This window comes from Homo sapiens, chromosome 10 (assembly GCF_000001405.40).
Source record: "Homo sapiens chromosome 10, GRCh38.p14 Primary Assembly".
NCBI lineage: Eukaryota > Metazoa > Chordata > Mammalia > Primates > Hominidae > Homo > Homo sapiens.
In genome coordinates, this window is record NC_000010.11 from 822,474 (window position 1) to 846,397 (window position 23,924).

Genomic DNA, 23,924 nt, shown 5'->3' on the forward strand with positions numbered 1-23,924 from the left:
CCCAGTCACCATCAGTGGGCCCAGCCAACACTCCCCCACACCCTCACTGGGCTCCACGTAACCCGTGTCAGACCCAGAAGCCCACCTGCAGCCGTAGAACACTGTCAGCTGTCAGTGCCCATCATGCAGAGAGCAGGTTGGCTGAGCCAAGGCTCAGTGACAGGGCCATGGTGGGTTACAGCTCACAAGGGGTAGCAAGGGACCCAGGGTGGTCCCAGCACCATAGAGGAAACATCACTGTGACACCCGCGACTCTGAATGCAGTGGTGTGAAGGCCTGAGACCCTGAAGAGGTGTGCTTCCCCCAGCTGATCCTAACAGTAGCTCCACCAAGGCAGCCACCTGGCGCCTGGGGCTCCTCATGCCATTCAACCCAGCTGGGCCGTGCCCTGCCATGGCCGCCATGCAAGGGTAGGGACATGTGTCTGGACTCTGGTAAGGGGTTCTCCAGGACATCTTAGCACTTTGGTCCAATAGAGAAAGTTAATGGAAACAAAACAAACCCTCCCAAAAAGGGGAGGTGGAGGCATGGCTGCTGTGGATCAGGTTCTCAGGGCAAGCAAGGCCTGGCACACCTCCCTGCAAAACAGCACAAGCTCTTTCTCAAGACAGAGGGAAGGAGGAGGTTACGAAGGTCAGCTCTGGCTTCAGAACCCATCGCAGAAACAGGCTGCAGGAGTTGCATGCGCTTTCCCTGCCCACCACTTCCTAAACCACTCCCTAAACCACTGGTGCGTGCTTCCTAAACCACTCCCTGCCCACCGTGCCCATGCTGGTGTGCGCTTCCTAAACCACTCCCTGCCGCAGTGCTCAGGTCTCAGGTGGGAGGACAGTTGTCCTCCCTTGGTGGGGAGAGAGAGGGTCTCCATTGGTGCAAGATCTGCATCTGTCAGGCAAAAGCATAAACTTGTTACAGTTGCATTTGGAAGTTCAAGTATTGTTGAAGGGTATCCTGGGTAGACCACATTCGTCAGCAAGCTTTGGACTCTCAGCTTCAAAGCCACCTGTATACATTTTGTGAGGTAGCTGGAATTCAACAAGCCCCACTTTCATTTGCCAGGAAACTCCTTGTGACGCTCGTATGAACAAGGCACACTGAAGAGCACAGGAGGCTGAGGCCGGGGGGCCTTGTCCATCTAGTCTGCCTCCTTCCACACCGTGCCCACAATTGATGCCCCTCAGAGGGAGCCACATGGCCTTGATGAGTAGGGCTCTGTCCCAAGTCTGAGCCCCAGCTCTGCAACCCTCCTCCCTCCAAGCGTCTGGGTCTTAAGAACCCCAAACTGAGACCCAGGGCTAGCAACTGCTCCCTGAAGTCACTGACTCTCCATGACACGGTGGGCCCCTTTTGGCTTTGCATCTCCAAGGCCTGTTGAGCCAACCTGATGCCATGTTTCCTGTGAGACACAGGCCAGTGCCAGCTCTCCCAGACCATGGTGCCTTCCAATGCCACTGCACAATCCCTGCAGGAACTCCTATGTGCTCATTGAATCATTATGGGCAGGAATGAGATGCTTCTGATGCCTCTTCATGTTGAATTCTCACTGCACAGAGGGTGTGCACTGTGGCAGGCAGGAAGAGGAGCTTGCACGTCAGGGATGGTGCTGTACACATTGTATATAGAACACCCTGAAAAAGCTCAGGTATTTGAGTCACTTGTTTGTCACTTATGAGAGGAAAATCCTGACGGTCCTTACCAAGGCAAGGACTGAGAAGATCAACTGGCCTTATCAACAATGGGCAGGTGCGGTGGCTCATGCCTGTAATCCCACCACTATGGAAGGCTGAGGCAGGAGGATGGCTCTAGGCCAGGAGTTCAAGACCAGCCTGGGCAACACAGCGAGATCCTGTCTCTACAAAATATTTAAAAACTAGCCAGGCATGGTGGTGTGCATTTGAAGTCCTAGCTTCTCAGCATGCTGAGGCAATAGGATTGCTTGAACCCAGAAGTTCAAGGCTGTAGTGAGCCATGATCATGCCAACGTACCCCAGCCTGGGCAACGGAGTGAGACCCTGTCTTAAAAACAAACAAACAAACAAACAAACAAACAAAAACCTACTACAGGATTGATGCCAAAAAAATGTTAAACAAAACCAAAAATGGTGGGCAGGAAGCACAGCTAAGACCCGTCCTGGCTAGTCTCAACCCTCCAATGAGATGAGACTGCAATGCTGATCTGCCTGGTTACCCGCTCCAGGCTCCACCTGCAGTGCCTGGTGCACACCCAGCTGGAGGGCGCCAGGCCAGCAGCCATGGGGCAGAGCCTGGACACCGCCCTTGCAGAGGGGCCTGGTGAGCCAGGGGTGCTGCCAAGAGGAGACTGCAGGCACATGGGATGGAGTCTATGGCTATTGAGCTCCAGTGTTTCTACAAATAATGATCTAAAACAACTACAGTTCTCACTGAACCATTTCATATTCCAAAAAAGATGAAGCCATTTAAGTCTTAGCAATTATATAAAACCCTTATGTTTATAGCCTTCAGTTAGATTTTCTGTGACATATTTAAAGACAATTACAAAACATATCTAAATTAAATAATTTTTAAAATATTAGTTTATGATGTTACACAGTAACTGCTCAACAACTCACCTTCCCCTCCCTAAACCAGGAGAGGATTCGAGACTGCCTGGCTCCACACGCCCAGGCCCAGCCTCTCTCTTGGCATATGCTGAAGGGTTTTGAATCCGTGTTCTAGTTTGACCTGCTTGCCTTGTTTGTGGACTCCGGACACCATTAATTAATCGATCTGCAGTGAAGTTAAATATTGAAGGACTTTCTAATAACCCAGGTCCCCTCTCTGCACTAGGAATCGCATGCCGCAGATGAGATTTACTAGGATTCCTGTAAATAAAAATGGTTTTATGTGTTGAGTTATAAAATGATCAAGGCATTACATAACATGCATACTGACATGGAATAGCTAAGCTGAAATCTGCTCTCTGTTTAATAAAGTATAAAAATAGGATTTGGAATGGTTAACTCCTAACATATAGGATAATGCAAATCTATTAACAATGTGCCACAATTCTGCTTAGCTGTTTTTCAGTCCAGGCCCAAATTAAAATCAGGCACACCTGATGTGTACAAGTTGCCCCAAAGCCTCCTCTCAGAGAATCTGAGGCGGGCACCCATGCCAGATTGTAGTGCTTAGTCTTTACAGAATGCAGCTGTGTGCTTCAGGTGGCTCTGTCTGCGAGGAGCAGGACTAGTGATCAAAGCTCTCTCATCCCAACTCCGGAAGGGCAGTAGCGTAAAGACCAAAACTGCTAAGACCGCCCCGGAACTTGCCTGCTTCGAGGAGGATACTGTCTGAGAGAAGTCAGAGGAGACGCCGCAGGCTTGAACGCTGGAGACGTAAACCCATTTATAAATCCAGTATTTGGAAATGGAGTTACCTAGATTCATTTGAAAACAGACAAGTAAATAAACCATAAAACAGACTTCAATTTCATTAATACCAACAAATCTGTGGAAACTGAGGGCATTTCTTGATGTTGTCAGAGTCATGACCCATGCTGAGACATGTATTTTACAATTTTATCACCAATGGGTGCTGTTTAGAAGTAGGCTGGAGCTTTTGTGCATCCTTTCAGCCAATCCTTACAACAATCCAGCGAGGAGAACTGACACATGCGGAAGCAGGCACTGAGAGGAAAGACGTGGTCAAGAGCGCATGGGCTCCAACAAGTGTTGTAACCTTTAGCATGTCAGTCTGATACGACCTCCATCACTGGCAGGAAGTCAACAGTTCTTGATTCCTGATGGCTTTAATACAACTCATCAACATTCTCAATCTTAGGAGCACCTGCACACCCACTGCTGCTCACTCGGCTTCATCCAACCACAGCCTGACAGGGCCTTTACCTTTACCCCGACACAAGTCCTGCTCTGCAGATCAGGGTATTTTCAGATCATCATTATTCCCCAAGTCACAAGGTAAGTATGGCATGCAAATATACTAACATAAGATTCAGAAGAAATTAGAAAGGGTCACAGAACCCCTAAAAGATCTTAAGTAGTTAAAAATATTGAGCATAGAATTTTAAGTATCGGCCAACTATTTTTAAAATCTAGACACATACAAAAATAAGATAAAACTTATTGTTAAAACAGTTCCTTTAAAAACAAACAAACAAACAAAACTCAAGACCATTCATTCTAATTCTCTGGCTTCTGGACCCATGGTTTCCAATACGTTCTGCATCACTGATATCTCGCTCCTTATGCTCCTGACACAGGGCACTTAGTTCCTGAGGGCCTTCCAGTCCACACCCTCAATGTCACTAAAGTGACAGAGATACGCATAGAGCCCTCCTTGTTTGGAGGAAGAGAGAAAGGAAAGGAAAAAAGCAAGTAATTCTCCTTAATTAGAGCTAACTGGAAGATATAACAGAAAAAGAATATTATAGCTTAGGACTAAAATAAAATCATACAAAAGGGAAGTTAGAATCTTCAATTTGCTACTTGAGAAACTCTTCACTCTGTAAGAATCGGACTTTTTAAAATACATCACACATGGCCGGGCGCAGTGGCTCATGCCTATAACCCCAGCACTTTGGGAGGCCAAGGGGGGGCGGATCAAAAGGTCAGGAGATCAAGACCATCCTGGCTAACATGGTGAAACCCCGTCTCTACTAAAAATACAAAAAAATTATCCGGGCGTAGTGGCGGGCGCCTGTAGTCCCAGCTACTCAAGAGGCTGAGGCAGGAGAATGGCGTGAACCCGGGAGGCGGAGCTTGCAGTGAGCCAAGATCCGGCCACTGCACTCCAGCCTGGGCGACAGAGAGAGACTCTGTCTCAAAGAAAAAGAAAATACATCACACTTGAAGAGCCATGAATGCAGACCTGGATCTGAGGCTGTAAATCATGGGCAGAGCAATGAGGACTAATCATTTCCAGCAAGTCATTTTACAGACAGAGCCCTGATATTCCAGTAATTTTGCTCAAGATAAAAAATAAAATTGGTCATATATAAAAAATAAAGTTGATTATTAATGCGTTCCTATTATTACTTGTTGGGGATTAATAGGCACAATCTCTTCAGCTGCAGAACAAAGGACGCACATGTTTTAGCACAAGTAAAAGGCTGCGATGGAGAGCCCCAGTATCACAGACTCAGAGCAGGACCAGCTGTCTGGCACACACCGCAACCTGAACATACAACATAAGTCAAGGCCATAAGCTGACCCAGAACCCCAAGGATCCCCGAGAGGGTCAACCATGATTAAAGAAACGGAAGAAGCAACTGCTGCAGGAAGAACTGAAAGGACTAGCATGGCAAGCCACGTGCAGCGATGATTCTTCAACACCCAGAGCCTACGGACTCAAGTCTCTCTGAGGTTCTCTCATGATATGCTTTTGGGAAAACGAAGTATTCAGCTATGGGTACACTTTTATAGAATGTGCTACTTCAAAAAGCCAGAAACTTTTCTTACCATCAGGACTTACTCAAAAGAGACAGAAGTAACTTTACCAAAGGTTCTTACACTGCGGTGGTTCCAGACTCAGGGGGAATTGGGGTCCTCTGAAAATCTCTCCCTGTCCCCACCTGCCCTTCACACGGCCTTAGGAGCTATTTTCTAAATGGAGTATGGTTTCATTTCTCCGCTTAGAAACCTCAGACACCTTCCCACAAGCACTAGGCCAAAGCCCACATGCCTCAGGACAGCTAAGCACCTGCGCAGTTAGGCCTGGAAACTGCCAGCTCGTTCCCCAACTCCCTGCCACCCGGTGTACGCTTCAGCTCAGACACCCATGAATCTACGACCATCTTCTGTTCATGAAACTTCTCTTTGATTCCTTCTGAAAAACTCATACTTAACCTGAAAAGCTCAACCTAGATGACAACACAATCCCTGATAAGACCTGTCAGTGTTCTGGCATTCTGTACACGTGTCTCCTTGGCATGTTTGACTTTTCCAGCCTGAGTTGTTTCATGGACCCGTATCTTTACTTTCCGTGTATACAGGCACTTGTTTTCTCAAGTTCTCTCTGCTCTGCACCTACCCTCCTTTTCTGCCTGTCAGCGGTGACATCCCTGCACATCAGGGTGCCTGGCTCCCAGCCATCCGACCCTGAGGACCACTCAGTCTTTCCCTTAGTCCACAGCGAAACCCTGGACATGAACTCTTCTCAAAGTTACTAACTCAATTTCTGCTTTCTGACCATAACCTTCTATGTATGCTACCCTTCAATCTCTCCAATTCCAACTAACCTGCATTGCTACCTCATGCAAACCTCTAGGCCATGAACCCATCTTCACTTCTCAACTAGACTTCAGCTTCAAGGACATGCTCATCCGTGTATTGCTGACTCTCGTGCATCCAATGCCACCAAACTCATGCTAATTCCCACCCAGAATGCACTTGATCTTTCAAGCATCTATAGCAGCACACAAAGAGACAATGTCTAGATCCAGTACAGACTTATGAATTCCAACCATAGGCCTTAACAAAGGCCAAAATCCATAAAAATTAATCCTGTCGACCAACTCTAATGCTGGTGAGAAGTGAGTAAAATAAGGCTGGTAAAACAGCAGGCCTTCTCCTTGGCCTTGCTGTCAGAAGCCTATTAAACACCTCTTCCTCCTCAGTTAATCCCCCTTGCATTGTACTCTGTGTAGGGGACGCCAGGTACACTACAGCACTTATCGCCCTCTGCGTCTTGCTAAGAGCTGCATGACAAGAGGGGAGACGGGCTGTGCAAGGATTGTGCTCACAGCAATCCAAAGTTCTTTATGCATAAGCTCTGTTCTCAGCTACATTTAAAATCCCCCACATAACTTGAAGGTCTGTTTTAGTATGTCAGACTGCACACATATCTGGCTTCCTATTAGATGAGGATTTTAATCCTTCAAATTATCTAGCATAGTGTCTACAACATAAATTCCTAGTAAAGAAATGACGTACCAAGGGTGGGTCAAGATAGCTGTGCGTTGCTGACCACGTCTGGGGAGTGATCAGGCTGTACAGGGGGAACTGCTGCTGGGGGCTGTACATGGGAGGGAAGTAGAACGACGTCGCGTAGCGCTGCTGGGCATACAGGCTCACGTCCAGGGGTCTAAATCCATTCTTTGGCAAAAATGTGTTTATAGCTATTGCCTTTGCTTTTATCCGTGCCTGTTTGAAAATATGTAAGTTTCTATTAGAATACTTAAGAACATCAATTTGCAAATAAACAAAGTATAACCAATGGTCTTGCTTACCTTAATTGGTTTTCCTTGAAAAGTTTTGACTTCTTCTCGAAGGTATTTGTAAGCCTAAGGGCAAAATTAAGTACAAAATTCCATTCGATTAACCTTATGAATAAGAGGCACCAATAGTTCACTCAATAGCTCAAATAGGGAAATATATAATTAAATTATGGTGAACAGAACCTAGAATAATGATTCTTGACACTCCCTGGGTCACAGATCCCTTAAAATAACCTCATAAGAGCTATGGAACGTGTACCCCAAATTCTCACAAACAAGATTTGTACACAATTTTGTAAGTATTAACAGATGCCATAGAAGTCTCCCAAAGACCACTGGCTAAGAACCTTGACCTGGTGGAAAATGATGAATACTGAGTTCCTAGTATTCATCCCAATTTCAGATTAGGAGAATGCAGTTCAGGAAATACCAGACAGGAAGGAAAAGGATTAGGATCATAACATCCAAAAGTCATTCTTGATATATCTCCTTGTTCTTCTCCATGTTAATTCTACATTAAACCCCTATAAAACTGTGAAGGCCCTGCACCTGATTCAATATCATCCGACCACATTCGCCACACGGGCTGGCAGAGCTCACACTCCACTCCACAAAAATGGTTACTCTATCTTCCGTTCCCCTTTTCCCCCTCCATCCAATTAAAACCCATCTTTCAGGTTTCTGTGTTTTCTTTTCTGAACCCCACATACTGTTTATACCATTTAACACTTTATAATATGTGCGTTAGTTTCCTCACAAATAAGATGCTTCCCTTAAAAGCAGGAAAACTACTAACTCCTCACGCCTCCTTACAGAGCTTACTTCTCAATACCATTAAAAGCATCTTCCAAAATACAATGAAGTCTGCTGGGAGATGAAGATTAGGTTCAAATTTCCCCCCAAACACTTTGCAAATAGTAAAACTTCTCTGCCCAGATAGAAGAACAAAACTGATTTTCCTAGGTTGCTTAGCTTGTTGTCCTTAGAAAGTAAAATCACATGCTTTTTATATTGCTATAAAAATTGTCCATACAAATACACTCAAATATTTAAGTTTCTACAACTTGATTTCCTCTGCAGATTATATTCAAACTTACCATCACAAGTAATCTCAATGCCCAAGTTTAGTCCCAACATGCACTAATAGTAAAAACTGGTAAACTATGCAATTCATAGGGTGATGGTGGAAAGAACTTACCTGTTGTGCATCAGCTTCTGTTTCAAATGTAATAAACCAATTATCATTATATGCAAATTCACAGTTTATAAATTTTGGTAAATTATCTCCTTTAAATAGTGCTTCTACTTCCTACAGGAAATAGAGATGTTAGAAATTAATTCTCAACAATGTCAGTTTTTGTCCTCACCAAAAATTTTTTTAACAAATGCATTCTCTTAAGGAACTATCCTTAAACAAACGTACCATGATGCCTAGTAAATCTCTCTTCCAAAAAGGATGAGGGTTCAGCAGGGCTTCCAGAATCAGAATCACAATGCCATAGAGAAAAGCAGTCACACAACTTACAGCTTCCCCTACTCTCAAGATACCATTAAGCTAGATTAATGTGAAAACTATCATATCATGTTCTGGGCTGATAACTGCACAACTTTTTTTTTTTTTTTTTTTTTAAAGGCAATTTAAGAAAAAAAATTTGCTTGGACTTTTGCTTCTGGCCATGATGGACTAGATTTACTCTCCCAGATGACTCAATTAAAAAACCAAAGACAAAATACATGAAGAACAGTTTCAGGCCCTGAACCCCAGCGTGAACACGAGTGTGATCCCTGAGAGGGACATGAACAGGGGAGTTGGCCTTCAGTGCCTGGGCCGCAGAGCCGGCAGGGTAAGCCTGCAGATGGCCTTCCCCACATCTTCAGCCTGGGAAACAACCGCCTGAGGGATGAGAGGGAACAAGCCCAGGGAAGGCTCACCAAGAGAGGAATGGTTTGTTTTCCCACCGGCCACAGTGGAAAACTCTCCTAAACACACAGGATAGCAGGGACAGTGCTCAGAAGGGCACTGCTTCCGCAGTGGGGAAAATGAGCCCTAGAGAAAAGGCTGCTCTGATTCCACCTAGAAAGTTGGTTCCAGGTAACTTCACTGCATTTCAAAACAAAGCTCAAGAATATTTATTAGAATACAAAAATATTCAGTAAAGTAAAATTTAAAACTCCGAGCATCTCCTCAAAAATCACAAAGCATGCAAAGAAATAGAAAATATGACCTATAATGCAAAAGATTAGACCTAGAAATGACAGATACGATAGACTTAATACACATAACACATTTACTGCATATATATTCCATATCCCATAAAAGGTAAAGACTGAGCATATTAAATATATATGGAAGATTGTTTTTATTTTTTATTTTTTTTTATTTATTTATTTTTGAGACGGAGTCTCGCTCTTTCGCCCAGGCCAGAGTTCAGTGGCGCTATCTCGGCTCACTGCAAGCTCTGCCTCCCGGGTTCACGCCATTCTCCTGCCTCAGCCTCCCAAGTAGCTGGGACTACAGGCACCCGCCACCGCGCCCGGCTAATTTTTTGTATTTTTAGTAGAGATGGGGTTTCACTGTGTTAGCCAGGATGGTCTCGATCTCCTGACCTCGTGATCCGCCCGCCTCAGCCTCCCAAAGTGCTGGGATTACAGGCATGAGCCACTGCGCCCGGCCAGATTTTTTTTAAAAGACCAAAATCAAACTTTACTGGAGATGAAAAATACAATGTCTGAAATTAAAACTACACTAAATAAGATTAACAGCTGACTAGACACTTTCTGAAGAAAAGGACAAAAGGCAGAGGAAAACATTTAACAAAATAATGGCTCGATAAATTTCAGGTACGAGAAGTTTGAAAACTACACCAAAGCATATTGCAATCAACTTGCTTAAAACCAGTAGTAAAATCTTCACAGCAGCCAGAGAAAGACTTATTACATACAGAAGGATGGTGATAAAAACCACAGAAAACGTATACCAGAAGAGAGAGTATCTTTAAAACACAGAAAGGGAGGAAAAAACCCCCTCAATCCAGAAATCTATATGCAGCAAAAATACCTTTCATAAATAAAGGTGAAATAAGATTTTCCCAAACATACTAAAGCTGAAAAAAATTCATCATCGGCAGACCTGTACAAGACATGCTAAAGGAATGTCCAGGCAGAAGGAAAGTCCAGATTGACATAAAGGAATGAGAAGGACTGTAAATGGCAAATACTGAATAAATATAAAACATGTTTTTCTTATTTTTAATCTCTTTTTAAAAGTGACTTGTTTAAAGCAAACGTAACAACGATGTATTGTGAGGCTTATGACTGTGTAGAATTAGAATGTGTGACAACAGCACAGGCTAGAAGTGGAGAATGGGAGAGCATGGCTGTAAATGGGAGAGCATGGCTGTAAGGTAAAGAGGCATGGTGCTCTGTGAATTACACGGACTCTAGTAAAGTTAGAGGGTCAGCTAAAAACCCTAAAGAAAGGGGGTCCAATATTTTGGCTTCCCTGGGACACAATGGAAGTAGAAGAATTGTCTTGGGCCACACATAAAATACACTAACACTAACGATAGCTGATGAGCTTTAAAAAAAAAAAAAAAAAAAAAAAAAAAAAAAAAAACCTCAAAATGTTTGAAGAAAGTTTACGCATTTGTGTTGAGCTGCATACAAAGCCGTCCTGGGCGGCATGCCGCCCACGGGCTGAAGAAGCATGCCCTAAAGCACCACTAAAAAACAGAAACACAGAGTTATACCTAATATGCCAAAAAAGGAGATAAAAATACACATTTAATCCCAAACAAAAGGAGGGGAAAGGGAAAGAAAATAAAGAAGAGACAAAACAGAAAACAAACAGCAAGATGATAAATTTAAATTTAATCACATCATTACATCATTAACCTCTTAAATGTAGATGGGCTACACTCCCAATTAAAAGACAGAAATTGGGCCCGGTGCGGTGGCTCACGCCTGTAATCCCAGCACTTTGGGAGGCCGAGGAGGACGGATCACGAGGTCAAAAGATCAAGACCATCCTGGCCAACATTGTGAAACTCTGTCTCTACTAAAAGTACAAAATTAGCTTGGCATGGTGGCGCATGCCTGTAGTCCTAGCTACTCGGGAGGCTGAGGAAGGAGAACCACTTGAACCCGGGAGGCAGAGGTTGCAGTGAGCTGAGATCACACCACTGCACTCCAGCCTGGCAACAGAGCAAGATGCCACCTCAAAAAAAAAAAAAAAAAAGACAGAAATTTTCAGATTGGATAAGAAAAGCAAGACCCAATTACACACTGCTCACAAGAAATCCACTTTAAATATGAAAACACAAATGGGTTGGTTAAAAGAGGATAGAAAAGACATACCATACTAATGTCAATCAAGGAACGTGAGAGTGGCTATATTCATTCCAAATTCCAGAGGAAAAACAGCAACAAGGAAAAACAGGGCCATTCCATAAAAAATTACTAGCCAGGTACACCTCAAAAAGTACAAAAGGAATTTGACAACCAAATGAACTACAAAAACGGTTTCCAGGGATTCTAATGCCCTATGTTGTTGTCCCATCACTGGTAAATGCTTACTGGTTAAAAGATAAAACACATCAACGCAAAGTCATACTTGACTAACGGTAAATTAGGATTATGACTTTTAAAGTCAAACAATAATACTTTAAGGCCACTAGACTATCAGTCTACTAGTGGCAAGAATGGTTGACTCCTCTGCCTCTGGGAAAATCCTATTTTTAAGAAAATCAGAATCAGTATTTAAAATGTACTAATCACTGACAAGTACCTAGTGACATTTAAAGAATAATTTTCTGGAAACTCCTAGCCTACATTTCTAAGACCCAGTAGAAGGGCTCTATAATAATTATACAGAGTCCTTGGGAACTTATGTTCTTACGTGGATTGTTTTAGGCTACTTATTTTCCTTCCTTTTTTTCCCCAACTTTTAATTTATCAAAGAGTTTCCTTTAAACCTTCTCTCTTAAGACTTTCATTGCTCAAGTTTTACAAAAGACATAAGGTCAGCAGTTTTGAATAATATAAATACTCCAAAATCAATGTCTACTGCTAAATGCAGAAAATTCTCCTTGGTTAAAGTTTTACAAACATTTCAAGTCTTAAAAATTAGGATCTATGTTTTAAATATTACTTTGAGTTAATACAGATGTCCAAATTAATCATAAGAAATATGCTGGTCCTCGGCCGGGCGCGGTGGCTCACACCTGTAATCCCAGCACTTTGGGAGGCCGTAATCCCAGCTACTCGGGAGGCTGAGGCAGGAGAAGCACTCGAACCTGGGAGGTGGAGGTTGCAGTGAGCCGAGATCGTGCCACTGCATGCCAGCCTGGGTGACAGAGCAAGACTCCGTCTCAAAAAAAAAAAAAAAGCAAGCAAGAAATATGCTGGTCCTTCATATTCAGACCCTTAATAAAAATAGGAGGAAAAAACTATAATCCTAAGTTGTTTTTCTCCACATACTACAATATAGAACTAGTAAAGACAGGCTAAGTGGAACAGAAGGTAAAACTTGCTAGAATAAGACCATACTTCTATGAGAGTAATAGAATTTCTTACGCTAGGCAGAGAGCTTTGTTGGAATCCTGCCCTTTCTCACATGCTAGGGTTGTTTTCCTTAAGAAACTCTCACACACACTAACCCACTCGGACTGAAAAGCCTGAACCGCAACGTCCATCTCCTCTGCAGAGAAGGTGTGTGGAAAGAGGTAGCATGAACGACGAGGCTGAAATCATGTGAGAGATGAGACCAACAACAAACCCAGGCTTCCTGTGTTCTGCGAGTCCCCAAAGCAGGCAGATTCCGTTTTCTGAGGTAGGATAAACTAAGTTGCCAGCACCTTCTACAAAGACTTTACCTCATGATCTCAAGGTGTGACCATCAGTGTGTTTACTACACAAAGCAACTCAGTTTAGGCATCTGGACAAACAGTAGATTTTATAGCAACACATAACAGTAAATGGCTTTTCATTACTTTTAAGCTATCAGATACTGTGGTTCCCTAAAATTACTGCCCAAGTCGGGTGGATTATGAGGTCAGGAGTTCCAGACCAGCCTGGCCAAGATGGTGAAACCCCGTCTCTACTAAACATAGAAAAATTAGCTGGGCGCAGCGACAGGCGCCTGTAATCCCAGCTACTCGGGAGGCTGAGGCAGGAGAATTGCTTGAGCCTGGGAGATGGAGTTTGCAGTGAGCCGAGGTTGCGCCACTGCACTCCAGCCTGGGCAACAGAGCAAGACTCCATCTCAAAAAAAAAAAAAAAATTACTCCCCAAGTTACCAGTTCTCTAAGAGTGGCCGTGCTGGCTTGGACCAGGCTGCACTGGTGGCTCAGGGAGTTATTCACGATGCCCCTTTGTCATAGAAATACTTGTTTTGAAAAGTTTTTTTTATCACAAAAGTGCTCTTTTTCATTATTTATGGGTTTACTAATCTTATTTTTAAATAAATATTTAAATGTGTTATTTTTAATTTCTAAATATAGAAATGCATAAACCTTCACTATCTTATTATAAGGAGTCCTGAGATCAAAAGGTTTGGTTATCATTCCCTCCTACTCTGTAACTCACTGTGTGTAAATCCTGGGAAAACAGTGTTAATGTAAGTACTCAGTCTAAAAAACACACAGCCCAAAAAAACACAAAAGTAAAATAAAATCAAAACCAACAAAGACCTTTGGGAAAATGTCCAAGTAACCTTCAGAGGAGAAATTACTTACTTCCACGGGGGTAGATTCAGATATTTCACGCAATATTACTATGCAGCGATTTTGATTTGGCCTTACTTTTTCTCCCTTTTCATCCACTTGGACTAAAGGTAAAGCTACAAAGAGAAGAAAAATCAATGGTGAAACAAAAATATTAAAATATGATATGCCAGTGGAATGTGTTACATTATATTACTATATTACTAAATAAGCTAAAGAAACCTGCAAATGGGCAAAGTAAACCAATCTCACGTTAGATTTTTCAAAGCTCAGGAATATGGACATTTAAAATCCTGCAGGAGCCATAATGTATGTAACACTATGAAACAAAGGTTCTAAACAGCTCAAGCACTAAGAGCAGATGAAAATACAGGGTTAACGGCTTTCTCCTTTCCACCAGTACCTAAAGTGAGATAATCTTGTTTCATAACTTGTTTCTGTGTGCCCTTCCCTGGCTCCCTGATGATCATCCCTCACCTAACGGTCGTGCACTGTTTACATTAGGATGCTCATGTGACTGCAGTAATAGGCCTAATTTAGATTTCGCCAGTTTTTACATAAATTGGGTTTTGGCATCACATCTAAGAAATTACGCAATGCGCAGATTCGAGTCACAGCAAGTAATGATCACAATTAGGGCTCAGAGGTGCCCACTGTCACAAAGACACAAATCACCAGCATCAGGATGAAAGTGGCAACATCATTACAGGTTCTATCAACAGGAAAAAGATAACAACGGAATATTATGAAAAAGTTCACACTAATACATTACATGAAACAGAAACATTCCTTAAAAGACATAAACCACCAAAGCTCACCCTACAAGAAAGGTAACTGGTGCATGACTGTAACTTAGTTTTTATATCTTAATCTGACAAAAGATCATCAAAGACTCATATGCTGAAAACTGCAAAACACTGCCAAAAGAACATTTTAAAGACCTACATAAAGACATATTCTGTGCTTGTGGGTTGTAAAACTTAACACTGGTAGAATGCGTGAATTCTTCTCGAGTGAATTTATACAATCAATGCAATCCCAATAAAAACACCAACAGGACTTTTTGAAAAATTGTAATGATGATTCTAAAATTCATATAAAAATGCAAAACATTTACAAGGGCCACAGCAAAGCTGGAGGTTCTGAACCTACTTTAAGACTCACTATAACGTTACAGTGATTAAGACACTGTAGTGTTAGCATCCAATCAGACAAGTAATCAAGGGAATAAAACACACGTTCCAGAGACCAACACCCACGTGCACGGGCAGTCAATACGACAAGGCCCCAGACACGTGGGGTGCTGCAACAGATGCACACAGGATCCATACCCCACACCATGTACAAACATCAGCACAAAATAGATGACAGACTCGAATGTTCAAATGTAAAACATAAAACTAATAAAAGGAAAACTATCATAACCTTGGACCAAGCAAAGATTTCTTAGGTACAACACCAAAAGCAAGATCTGTAACACGAAAAAAATTTACAAATTGGACTATATAAAAAATGTCTACTTCTGCTTCTCAAAAGACACTGGTAGAACAAAAAAAAAAACAGCTGTACACTTAGAGAGCATATTTGTAAATCACGTGTAATACATATTTAAGTGTACACACATACATCATTGACAATGTGACCGTGGAGCAAAGGAGCATCTTTTCAACAAGTGCTGCTAAACCACTCGACATCCACATGCAGAAAATTAATCTAGGTGCAGACCTGGCACCACCATTCATAAAAATTAACCCCAAATGGATCATGGACCTAAGTGTAAAATGCAAAACCTTAAGTCCTAGAAAACATAGGAGAAAATCTAGAAGGCCTTGGGTCTGACAATAACTTCTTAGATACCACACTAAAGGCATGATCCATGAAAAAATTTCATTAAGATTTAAAACTTCTGCTTCGTGAAAGGCAACGTCAACAGGATGAGAAGCCATTGACTGATGGAAAATAGTTGCAAAAGACACATCTGATAAAGGACTGTTAACATCAAAATGCACAAAAAACTTTAAAAATCAACAATAAGAAAATGAACAAGATTAAAAAATGGGCAGAAGACCTGGACAGACACTTCACAAAAGATTTACAGAGGGCGAATCTACATATGGAAAAACGCTTCACATCATATGTCATAGGGAATGCAAATTAAGACATCAATGAGATGTCACTGCATACCTGTCAGCACAGCAAAAATCACAAACAATGACACCACCAAATGCTGCCGAGGATGTGGAGCAAGAGGAACTCCCATTCACTGCCGATGGGAATGCAAAGTGGTACATCCACTTTGGGAGACACTTTGGTGGCTTCTTACAAAACAAATAATATTCTTAGCATATGATCTGGCAATTGTGCTCCTTGGTATTTATCCAAAGGAGCTAAAAAATTATGTCCACACAAAATCTGCATACAGATGTTTATAGCAACTTTACTCATAACTGCCAAAACTTGGAAGTAATCAAGATGCACTTCAGTGGGTAGATGGATAAGCAAACTGTGGGACATCCAGACAATGAACTATTATTCCACACTAAAAAGAAATGATCTATCAAGCCACGAAAAGACATGGAGGAACCTTCAACATATATTGCTAAGTGAAAGAAGCCAATCTGAAGAGGCTACATCCTATAGGATCCAACTCTAGGACATTCTGCAAAAGGCAAAACTACAGAGGCAGTAAAAAGATCAGTGGCTTCCAGTGACTGGGGGAGGCAGGGATGCACGGGTGGAACTCAGAGGACGTTTAGGTCAGTAAAATTACCCTGTATGATACTGTAATGGTAGATAATGTCCCTATATGGTTGTCTGAACCCATAGAATATACAATACCAAGTGAACCCTTATGTAAACTGTGGACTCCAGGTGACAATGATGTGTCAGTGTTGGTTTCATCAATTATAACAAATGTTCCTCTGCTGCGGAATGTTCATATGGGAAGAGGCCATGCATGTGTACAGGGGATATAATGGGAGATCTCTGTACTTTGCTTACAATTTTGCTGTGAATCTAAAACTGTTATAAAAAATAAAGTCTACTTCTAAAGAAAGGACTCAATTGTTAATAAAACTAATAAAGTATGTGTGGGACATCTAAATAGACACTACTGCAAAGAAGAAAAAGGAAGGCAAATAAGCTCATTTAAAAAATGCTCAACTTCATTAATCATTAGAGAAACAGATGTTAAAGCCTCAACAAGATATCACTATATAGTTATTAGAAAACATAAAATTAACATGATTGCATACGAAGTGTCAGAAGGATATGGGGCAACTGGAGCTCTCATCCCTGCTGGTGGTGGCCAACCGTAAAATGGTCCAACCACTTTGGAAAACAGGCAGGTGGTTTCACAGTTGCTCACACACCTAACCACACAATCCAGACATTCCACTTGTGGCTATTTACCCAAGAGAGAGGGAAGCACATGGTCACACGGAGACTTTTACACAAGTGTCCACAGCAATTTGTAGTGGTCAAAACCCGGCAATAACCTAAATGTCTATAACTGCTAGGTGCATAAACCAACTGGGAATACCCATTTGAGAGAATACTTCCCAGCAAAAAGAAGCAATCACCTACTAATCCAGTAAACAACAATAGTTATGCCAGACCAAAAGAAAGTGATATTGCATAATCGACTCCATTTACATCAAATTTGTAAACACTGCAAGCTAATCCGTAGTGACAGGAAGCAAATCAGTGGTTGCCTGGGGAGGGGGTAGAGGACGCTTGGCGGGGGTGGGCTGTGATGGCTGTTTGGTATCGTGATTGTGGTAGTTTCATGGGTGTATAAATATGTTAAAACTTACGAAATGTACACTTAGAATGCATAATTTATGGTATGTAAATTCTACCTCCATACAGGCAGGGGTGACACCCTCTGCACTTCATGCCTCGCCCAACTCACCTGCCCCCATGACGTGACACTGAATGATGAGCTTCAATCCCGTTCATGCTTTCACACCATCTCCGTGCTCCTCTGAACCCACAAAAATTCCTGTGCTTCAGCTTTACACACCCCCAAGCTTTATATACATGGTATCACCTTGCACAAATTTGGAAATACGCTTTTATAAACATTATAATTTTAAAATTTATTCTTGTTGGAATATGTAGGCCTAGCTCACTGTAACAGCTCTGGTACTCACTGTGTGTATATAACACAACGTATTTATTCTGGTGACAAATATTTTAGCATGTCTTTTTAATTAGCAGTTCAGTTACATGAAGGGTGAAAACAGCCCTTGACTCAGACATACTGGGACACGCACATTGTGTTTACTGTGACATTAAAAATAATCTGGAAATGTAACTTATGCAACTTAACACAAGAGCTGCACTATTCAAAGGAAAATCATTCAGACAATCTTGAGTTTAATTTGTAAAAAGATAAAATTAAATATTCATCAAATATCTGCTGTGTGTCTGAGTCTCTGCTAGGTAATTTGGGCACAAGATCTAAACATAAGATGAGGCCAGGCATGGTGGCTCACACCTGTAATCTCAGGACTTTGGGAGACTGAAGTGGGCAGATCACTTCAGGTCAGAAGTTTGAGACCAGCCCTGCCAATGTGGTAAAACCTCGTCTCTACTAAAAGTACAAAAAATTAGCTGGGCGTGGTGGTGCACGCTTGTAATGCCCAGCTACTTGGGAGGCTGAGGTAGGAGAATTGCTTCAACACAGGAGGCAGAGTTGCGATGAGCTGAGATGACACCACTGCACTCCAGCCTTGGCGACAGAGTGAGATTCCATCTCAAAAATAAATAAATTCATTCGTCCATTCAACTTAATTTAAAAAAAAAGTAAGATGAGAACTTTGCTCCTGCGGACCTATTTATGACATTTTCATCCTCTTAAGAGCTACAATGAATGCAATAACTTGCTAACTATATTCTTGTCACATAGGTTCTTACAAAGGCATGTACATTTCTGTCCAAAAATCGAGTGAAAAAAGACAAAATGAGAAACTAAAGAGCTCAGTGCAAATGGATAAAAGTTAAGTCATAAAAAAGGCGGGAGGAGATGGGACGAAATAGGTGACAAGCCTGCCCTGGATCGCCTATGGGCAGGTGGGCTCTGTTAAGCAAGCACACAGAGCAATTTAATATCCTCATGGTTGGTGGAAACGACCCCTTGCCAGTAACAATCAACTGAGAAATCATCCCAGTGGGGCAGCAGCGTTTGCAAGGTCTGTCCGAAAAGGAATAACTAAACCTGAAACTCCTAATCATAACCAAAAAGACTTCAGAGTACAAACAGGGACAAGAATGCTGCTGGCCTTTCAAAGATGGGGCCCAATTCAGCTGGCACAGACAACAGCTTCTGTTCTGCATGATGACACCAGGGAGCACGGCGCCATCCTGGGAGACAGCAGTGCCGCTCTCAGAACTCACAGTCAATGGTAATTATGTTTGTCAGTTTTTTCACTGTCTCCAATAATTTAATAACCCATGCTATTTGTCTAAAAACAGAAAAACATAAAACTTTTATTTTATATTTTATTTGTGAAAAGAAAATCCAACTAAGTTCTCATGTAAGATGCTCACTTTTTTATACTACTGTAAAGTCAAATTCATACAAGAAAAAAAAAAAACCTGCACAGACTGTCGTCAGTACAGATAAGCCAGGGACAACGTGAAAACCCTTCTATGTGAGTATAGGCAGTGGACTTAATTGAGACTTGAAGTCAGGCTTAGCAATGTCCAATCACTCAAAACTATGTAGGGGCACCATCCACACTTAATGCTTAAACACTGTTTGATGTTGCCAAACTTCAAAGAAACAACTTCACTCACAACATAATTTTTTTTTTTTTTTATGAGATGGAGTCTATCTCTGTCGCCAGGCTGGAGTGCAATGGCACAATCTCAGCTAACTGCAACCTCCGCCTCCTGGGTTCAAGTGATTTCCCTGCCTCAGCCTCTCAAGTACCTGGGATTACAAGCACACACCACCACGCCCAGCTAATTTTTTGTATTTTAGTGGAGACAGGGTTTCACCATGTTGGCCAAGACAGTCTCAATCTCCTGACCTCATGATCCGCCCAACTCGACCTCCAAAAGTGCTGGGATTACACGCGTAAGCCACCACACCTGGCCCACAACATAATTTTAAGAAAAATTGCAATAATTATTTCATCCGAACATAAACAGGAAGTTGCAATTTGAAAGAAAAACCTCTAGTGGTAAAACTGTAACTAAAGTGTATTTTACTTTAACTATAAATGTTATTTTTATTTTGTTTTTCATGAATGAAACAGCTATCTTTAAAATCCCCATTAACAAGATTCTTTTCTACTTCATATGTCCCAAAACTTGTTTGAGGTTTCATAACGGGTTCAACTGGCATTCCCAGGGACTATCAGGCGCTACTCCAGAATTATTGGACCTGGGCAGAAAGGAACGGAAGGCCAGAAAAGAATCTGATTCGCCATCAAGGACCTTAACGTTTGATGGCTATAGATTTAAAGGTTCATGCTGATAAGACAAATACTCTAAGGACAAGTATTATTAATTTAAATTGTCATTTACTTACATCTTAGCACTTCCACAATCAAGTCCACATCAGTGCTGAGCTTCTTGATGTGGTCGAGGTTAGCCACCGTTGTGATTGGCACATACTGGTCACTATCCATCTGTGATATAAGATACATGTCACTAGCAAGGTTCTCCCTGTTGAAAGAAAACAATCTCTTTTAATCAGTATTTCTTTAAAAGGAAGTTTCACCTACTGTAATTCCAGTTTCACAAGAGGCGTGAGTGTGGCATGGTATTGCTTTGGAGTTAAATCTCAGCCCAGGACCCATCTGTTATTTGCTGTCTCTCCAGCCTCAGGTACATTTTTGCAAAATCTCGGCCTTGGAGAGGCAGGGAGTGCAAAAGTAAAAGTATACTGTACTTTCTACAATCAAAATTTATGAGAAGATGGTTATTTTTAAATAAGATGTAATTATTTATAGCTGTCATTTTTGTCCTAAGAAGTAGCTTAAGAGTTTATTAAAAATGCATACAATTTTGTTAGGCCGGGCACGGTGGCTCACGCCTGGAATCCCAGCACTTTGGGGGGCCAAGGTAGGCAGATCATCTGGGTTCAGGAGTTTAAGACCAGCCTGACCAACATGGTGAAACCCCATCTCTACTAAAAATACAAAAATTAGCCAGGCATGGTGGCGGGCACCTGTAATCCCAGCTACTCGGGAGGCTCAGGCAGGAGAATCGCTTGAACCCGAGAGGTGGAGGTTACAGTGAGCCAAGATCACACCACTGCACTCTAGCCTGGGCGACAAGAGTGAAACTCTGACTCAAAAAAAAAGAAAGAAAAACAATTTAAAGTAAAGAAATCCAGCTCAATGAACAAGAAAGGAAAACATAAAAAGGCCAGGATAAGGTCATACCCAAAATTCCTCCTGTAGACTCTGGAACACTCACCAGAGGGCCTATATCCAGCCCTGGCTTCCTAGCAGCCAGAATTAAAAAGAAGGAAACAGTAACTTTACCCACAAAATCCAAAGGTGAGCCACAAATCATCAGCAGTTTGGGCCATGATGAGCTATTTTCTGGTGTTTTGGCCAAAGATCAATGTTTCCTGTGAATTCTCAAGGCATCATGTAATGTAGTGAACAAGGCCCTAAGAAACATTTCAAAACTGAGCACAGTGCTGGGTTCCTGGGGCCTCTGCTCAGTGTCCCTCGGTGAAGGCCCATGACTGCCGATCAAACGGAGGCCATGCAGGAGGAGGCCCTGCTCCACCCTCATCTCGGCCATCTTCCAGGTGTAGCTGATTCTGGCCCCATGGGGCTACACATGGATGTGAGTGGCAGAGAGCTCACACTTGTGCTCCACTAGGGCGTTCCACTGGTGCCCCTGCACCTTTTGCGTCTACCATGTCATGGTGCGGTATTCTCAGACTCCAATCGTGGAACAGCATGGGCATGGGGAGGAGGCCAGCAGAGCCCCTCACACCTCCACCTCATACACCCCACAGGCTTCAAGGAGCCCCTAGCAGACACCTGTGTGGAATCCTCAGGGCTCCAGAGAAAACACCTGGAAAATCATCATCGACAGAAAACCTTATACACGGCCCATCGGTTGTTGTCATACTCAGAGAAATTACATCAAACCCAATCCCATCCTCCTTTATGTCCAGTTCTGCCATTGGAACTTTAAAGGTTTTACTAAGAAAAGGGTATTATTCAGGGGAAAGAAAAATGATTAAAAATGAGTGTTATATAAATAAAACAACTTGCTATCTCAGTGTCTGGTGTGCTTTCAGAAACAACGTGGCACACTTGTTCTCCAACTTCAGTGTGAGGAAGTCTGACTCGGCAGCACAGGGCGGGCGGGGCACTTTAGACGCATTCCAGACAGTGACCACCGAGACCACTGGGGACCACAGACATGAAGGTTACGTTCCATGCTCAAATGTCAAAAGACTGTCATTACTCAATATTCCACGTCTTCATATACATATATATGGATATGAGTAGATACTCCTTCATAAAATATCACATTTGTATATACTTTAACTATTTGCACAATACTAGAAATATCAGGTACTAGAAAAACCACCACCAGCCTTACCTAGATAAGCAGAATTCCAATGTTTTTTTAAGTACTTCTCGGGGGTCTTCCTGGCTGTCTGGTTGAGACTCATTTCCTCCTACATAAAAGTAATAATCAACTTAGGAAAACCGGCTTAAAATTTAGGAAGCAGATAATTCAGTACAGCAGTTCTAATGCTTTCAACTTACGTTCTGACACAACTACGTAAGTGTATCCTAAGTAAGAAAAATGCTACTTTACCTATCAAAAAAGTAAATCATGCAAAAAAACCTATCCCTTTATCCCCCAAAACAAAAACAGCACAGTTTAGAAAAATAATCTAAGTCTCATTAGCAGAGTTCAGCAGGGGCTTTTTCTACCAGAAATGACAAGTGTAAGCTTAGTTAATGCCTTGTCTCACTGCAAAAAGAATTTTCAAGTAACCTACACAAACACAAACCCTAAACAATAATAAAATACAGAGGAAAAAATTAAAACAACAACAACAAAGATAACCAGCAAAAAACCAAGGCTGGAGATCAAACAGGCTCTAGGACTAGACAGTTTCTACAACAGAGGCTTCAATTTGCCTTCCAACTTCCAGAGTCGAAGGAACAAGTGAGAATTGTCATGTTACAGAATTCCTGTAAGAGAATGATAAATAAACCAGATCTTCAAGAGGAAACAAAAGCTGGTTCTAAATCCTGGAAGAAATTTCTAAGAAGATGCCAGAGGGCATGGTGTGTGTGGTCACAGGCAGCACAGGGCTGTGAATTTGGAGCTCTAGAAGACACTGCATAAACTGCTGGACTCCGGACACTGCATAAAGAGGTATTTTAATAATGTTGCGATGACAGGCACTGAAATGCTAAGAACTAAGTTTTTCCTGCCTTCCTATATAAATTAGCATGGTACAATCATATAAGAGCCATGCTAACACAAGAGACACTTGTATCTTAAAAGTCAAAGTTAAAGACCATGAAAAGGCAAAGACAAAGTGGGGCGTTCAGGACAAATGAGAGGGATAGAGAGTTTGTATGGTGTTATACAATGAGCTTAGTAAAAATCCACCCCCATCAGCAAAAAGAAACCAAAACTGCTAAAGTAACCATAACACAAAACCAAATCATGGGACTCAATGAGACTGAAAATGGAAAATTGAAAACACAACCTGATGCCACTGTCCATCTAGACTAAGGTGTCTCCGGGTCACTCATCTAAATTCACACTCCACTCCCCATGTTTAATAGGTATTTACTAAATATTTCCAAGTGCCAGGCACTACTGCAGGCTCTGTGAATTCAGCCTGAATAACGCAAAGCCTGTGCTCTCGTGAAGCCAACACTCTGGTGGGAGAGGCAGATAACAGACAGTTAACCAGTAACTATACACATCATGTCAGAGAGAAACGGACACTGAGGAAACAACCCAGGATGAGGGGCAGCAAGGCCTGGTGCCAT

The 23,924-nt window shown here is 42.2% G+C and overlaps 1 protein-coding gene across 19 annotated transcripts in view, besides 3 other annotated features; it reads right to left on the reverse strand.

Annotated features, from left to right (window-relative positions):
- The window catches only part of LARP4B (La ribonucleoprotein 4B), a 181,428-nt gene that overhangs the window by 15,560 nt on the left and 141,944 nt on the right, over nucleotides 1-23,924 (reverse strand). For 15 of the 19 annotated variants that reach the window (XM_047424897.1, XM_047424894.1, XM_047424893.1 and 12 more), the window contains 8 exons: nucleotides 22,504-22,582; nucleotides 20,459-20,595; nucleotides 13,930-14,033; nucleotides 8,394-8,504; nucleotides 7,208-7,261; nucleotides 6,912-7,121; nucleotides 3,291-3,397; nucleotides 2,592-2,843 (listed from right to left, as the gene is read on the reverse strand). In XM_047424897.1, coding sequence (XP_047280853.1) covers nucleotides 2,592-2,843; nucleotides 3,291-3,397; nucleotides 6,912-7,121; nucleotides 7,208-7,261; nucleotides 8,394-8,504; nucleotides 13,930-14,033; nucleotides 20,459-20,595; nucleotides 22,504-22,582 — 1,054 coding nt within the window. Of the gene's footprint in view, nucleotides 1-2,591; nucleotides 2,844-3,290; nucleotides 3,398-6,911; nucleotides 7,122-7,207; nucleotides 7,262-8,393; nucleotides 8,505-13,929; nucleotides 14,034-20,458; nucleotides 20,596-20,654; nucleotides 20,781-22,503; nucleotides 22,583-23,924 lie in introns of those variants that run through there. The other 4 variants (XM_017015992.2, XM_047424902.1, XR_001747069.2 and 1 more) reach the window with 4 other exon arrangements.
- Nucleotides 11,112-11,350: a silencer, noted in NCBI's record as "fragment chr10:879525-879763 (GRCh37/hg19 assembly coordinates)". NCBI's record gives its function as "represses an EF-1alpha promoter that drives an FKBP-Casp9 reporter gene in an ReSE screen in phorbol 12-myristate 13-acetate-treated (for megakaryocytic differentiation) K562 erythroleukemia cells {active_cell/tissue: K562(+PMA)}" and the evidence as "EXISTENCE:reporter gene assay evidence [ECO:0000049][PMID:32094911]".
- Nucleotides 14,345-14,514: an enhancer, noted in NCBI's record as "experimental_17861 CRE fragment used in MPRA reporter constructs". NCBI's record gives its function as "activates a minimal promoter by MPRAs in K562 erythroleukemia cells, with activity observed for the introgressed 10:882843 or rs11253458 variant allele {active_cell/tissue: K562}" and the evidence as "EXISTENCE:reporter gene assay evidence [ECO:0000049][PMID:34662402]".
- Nucleotide 14,430: a transcriptional cis regulatory region, noted in NCBI's record as "Neanderthal adaptively introgressed variant 10:882843 (GRCh37/hg19 assembly coordinates) or rs11253458 in the experimental_17861 CRE". NCBI's record gives its function as "modulates activity of the experimental_17861 enhancer by MPRAs in K562 erythroleukemia cells {active_cell/tissue: K562}" and the evidence as "EXISTENCE:reporter gene assay evidence [ECO:0000049][PMID:34662402]".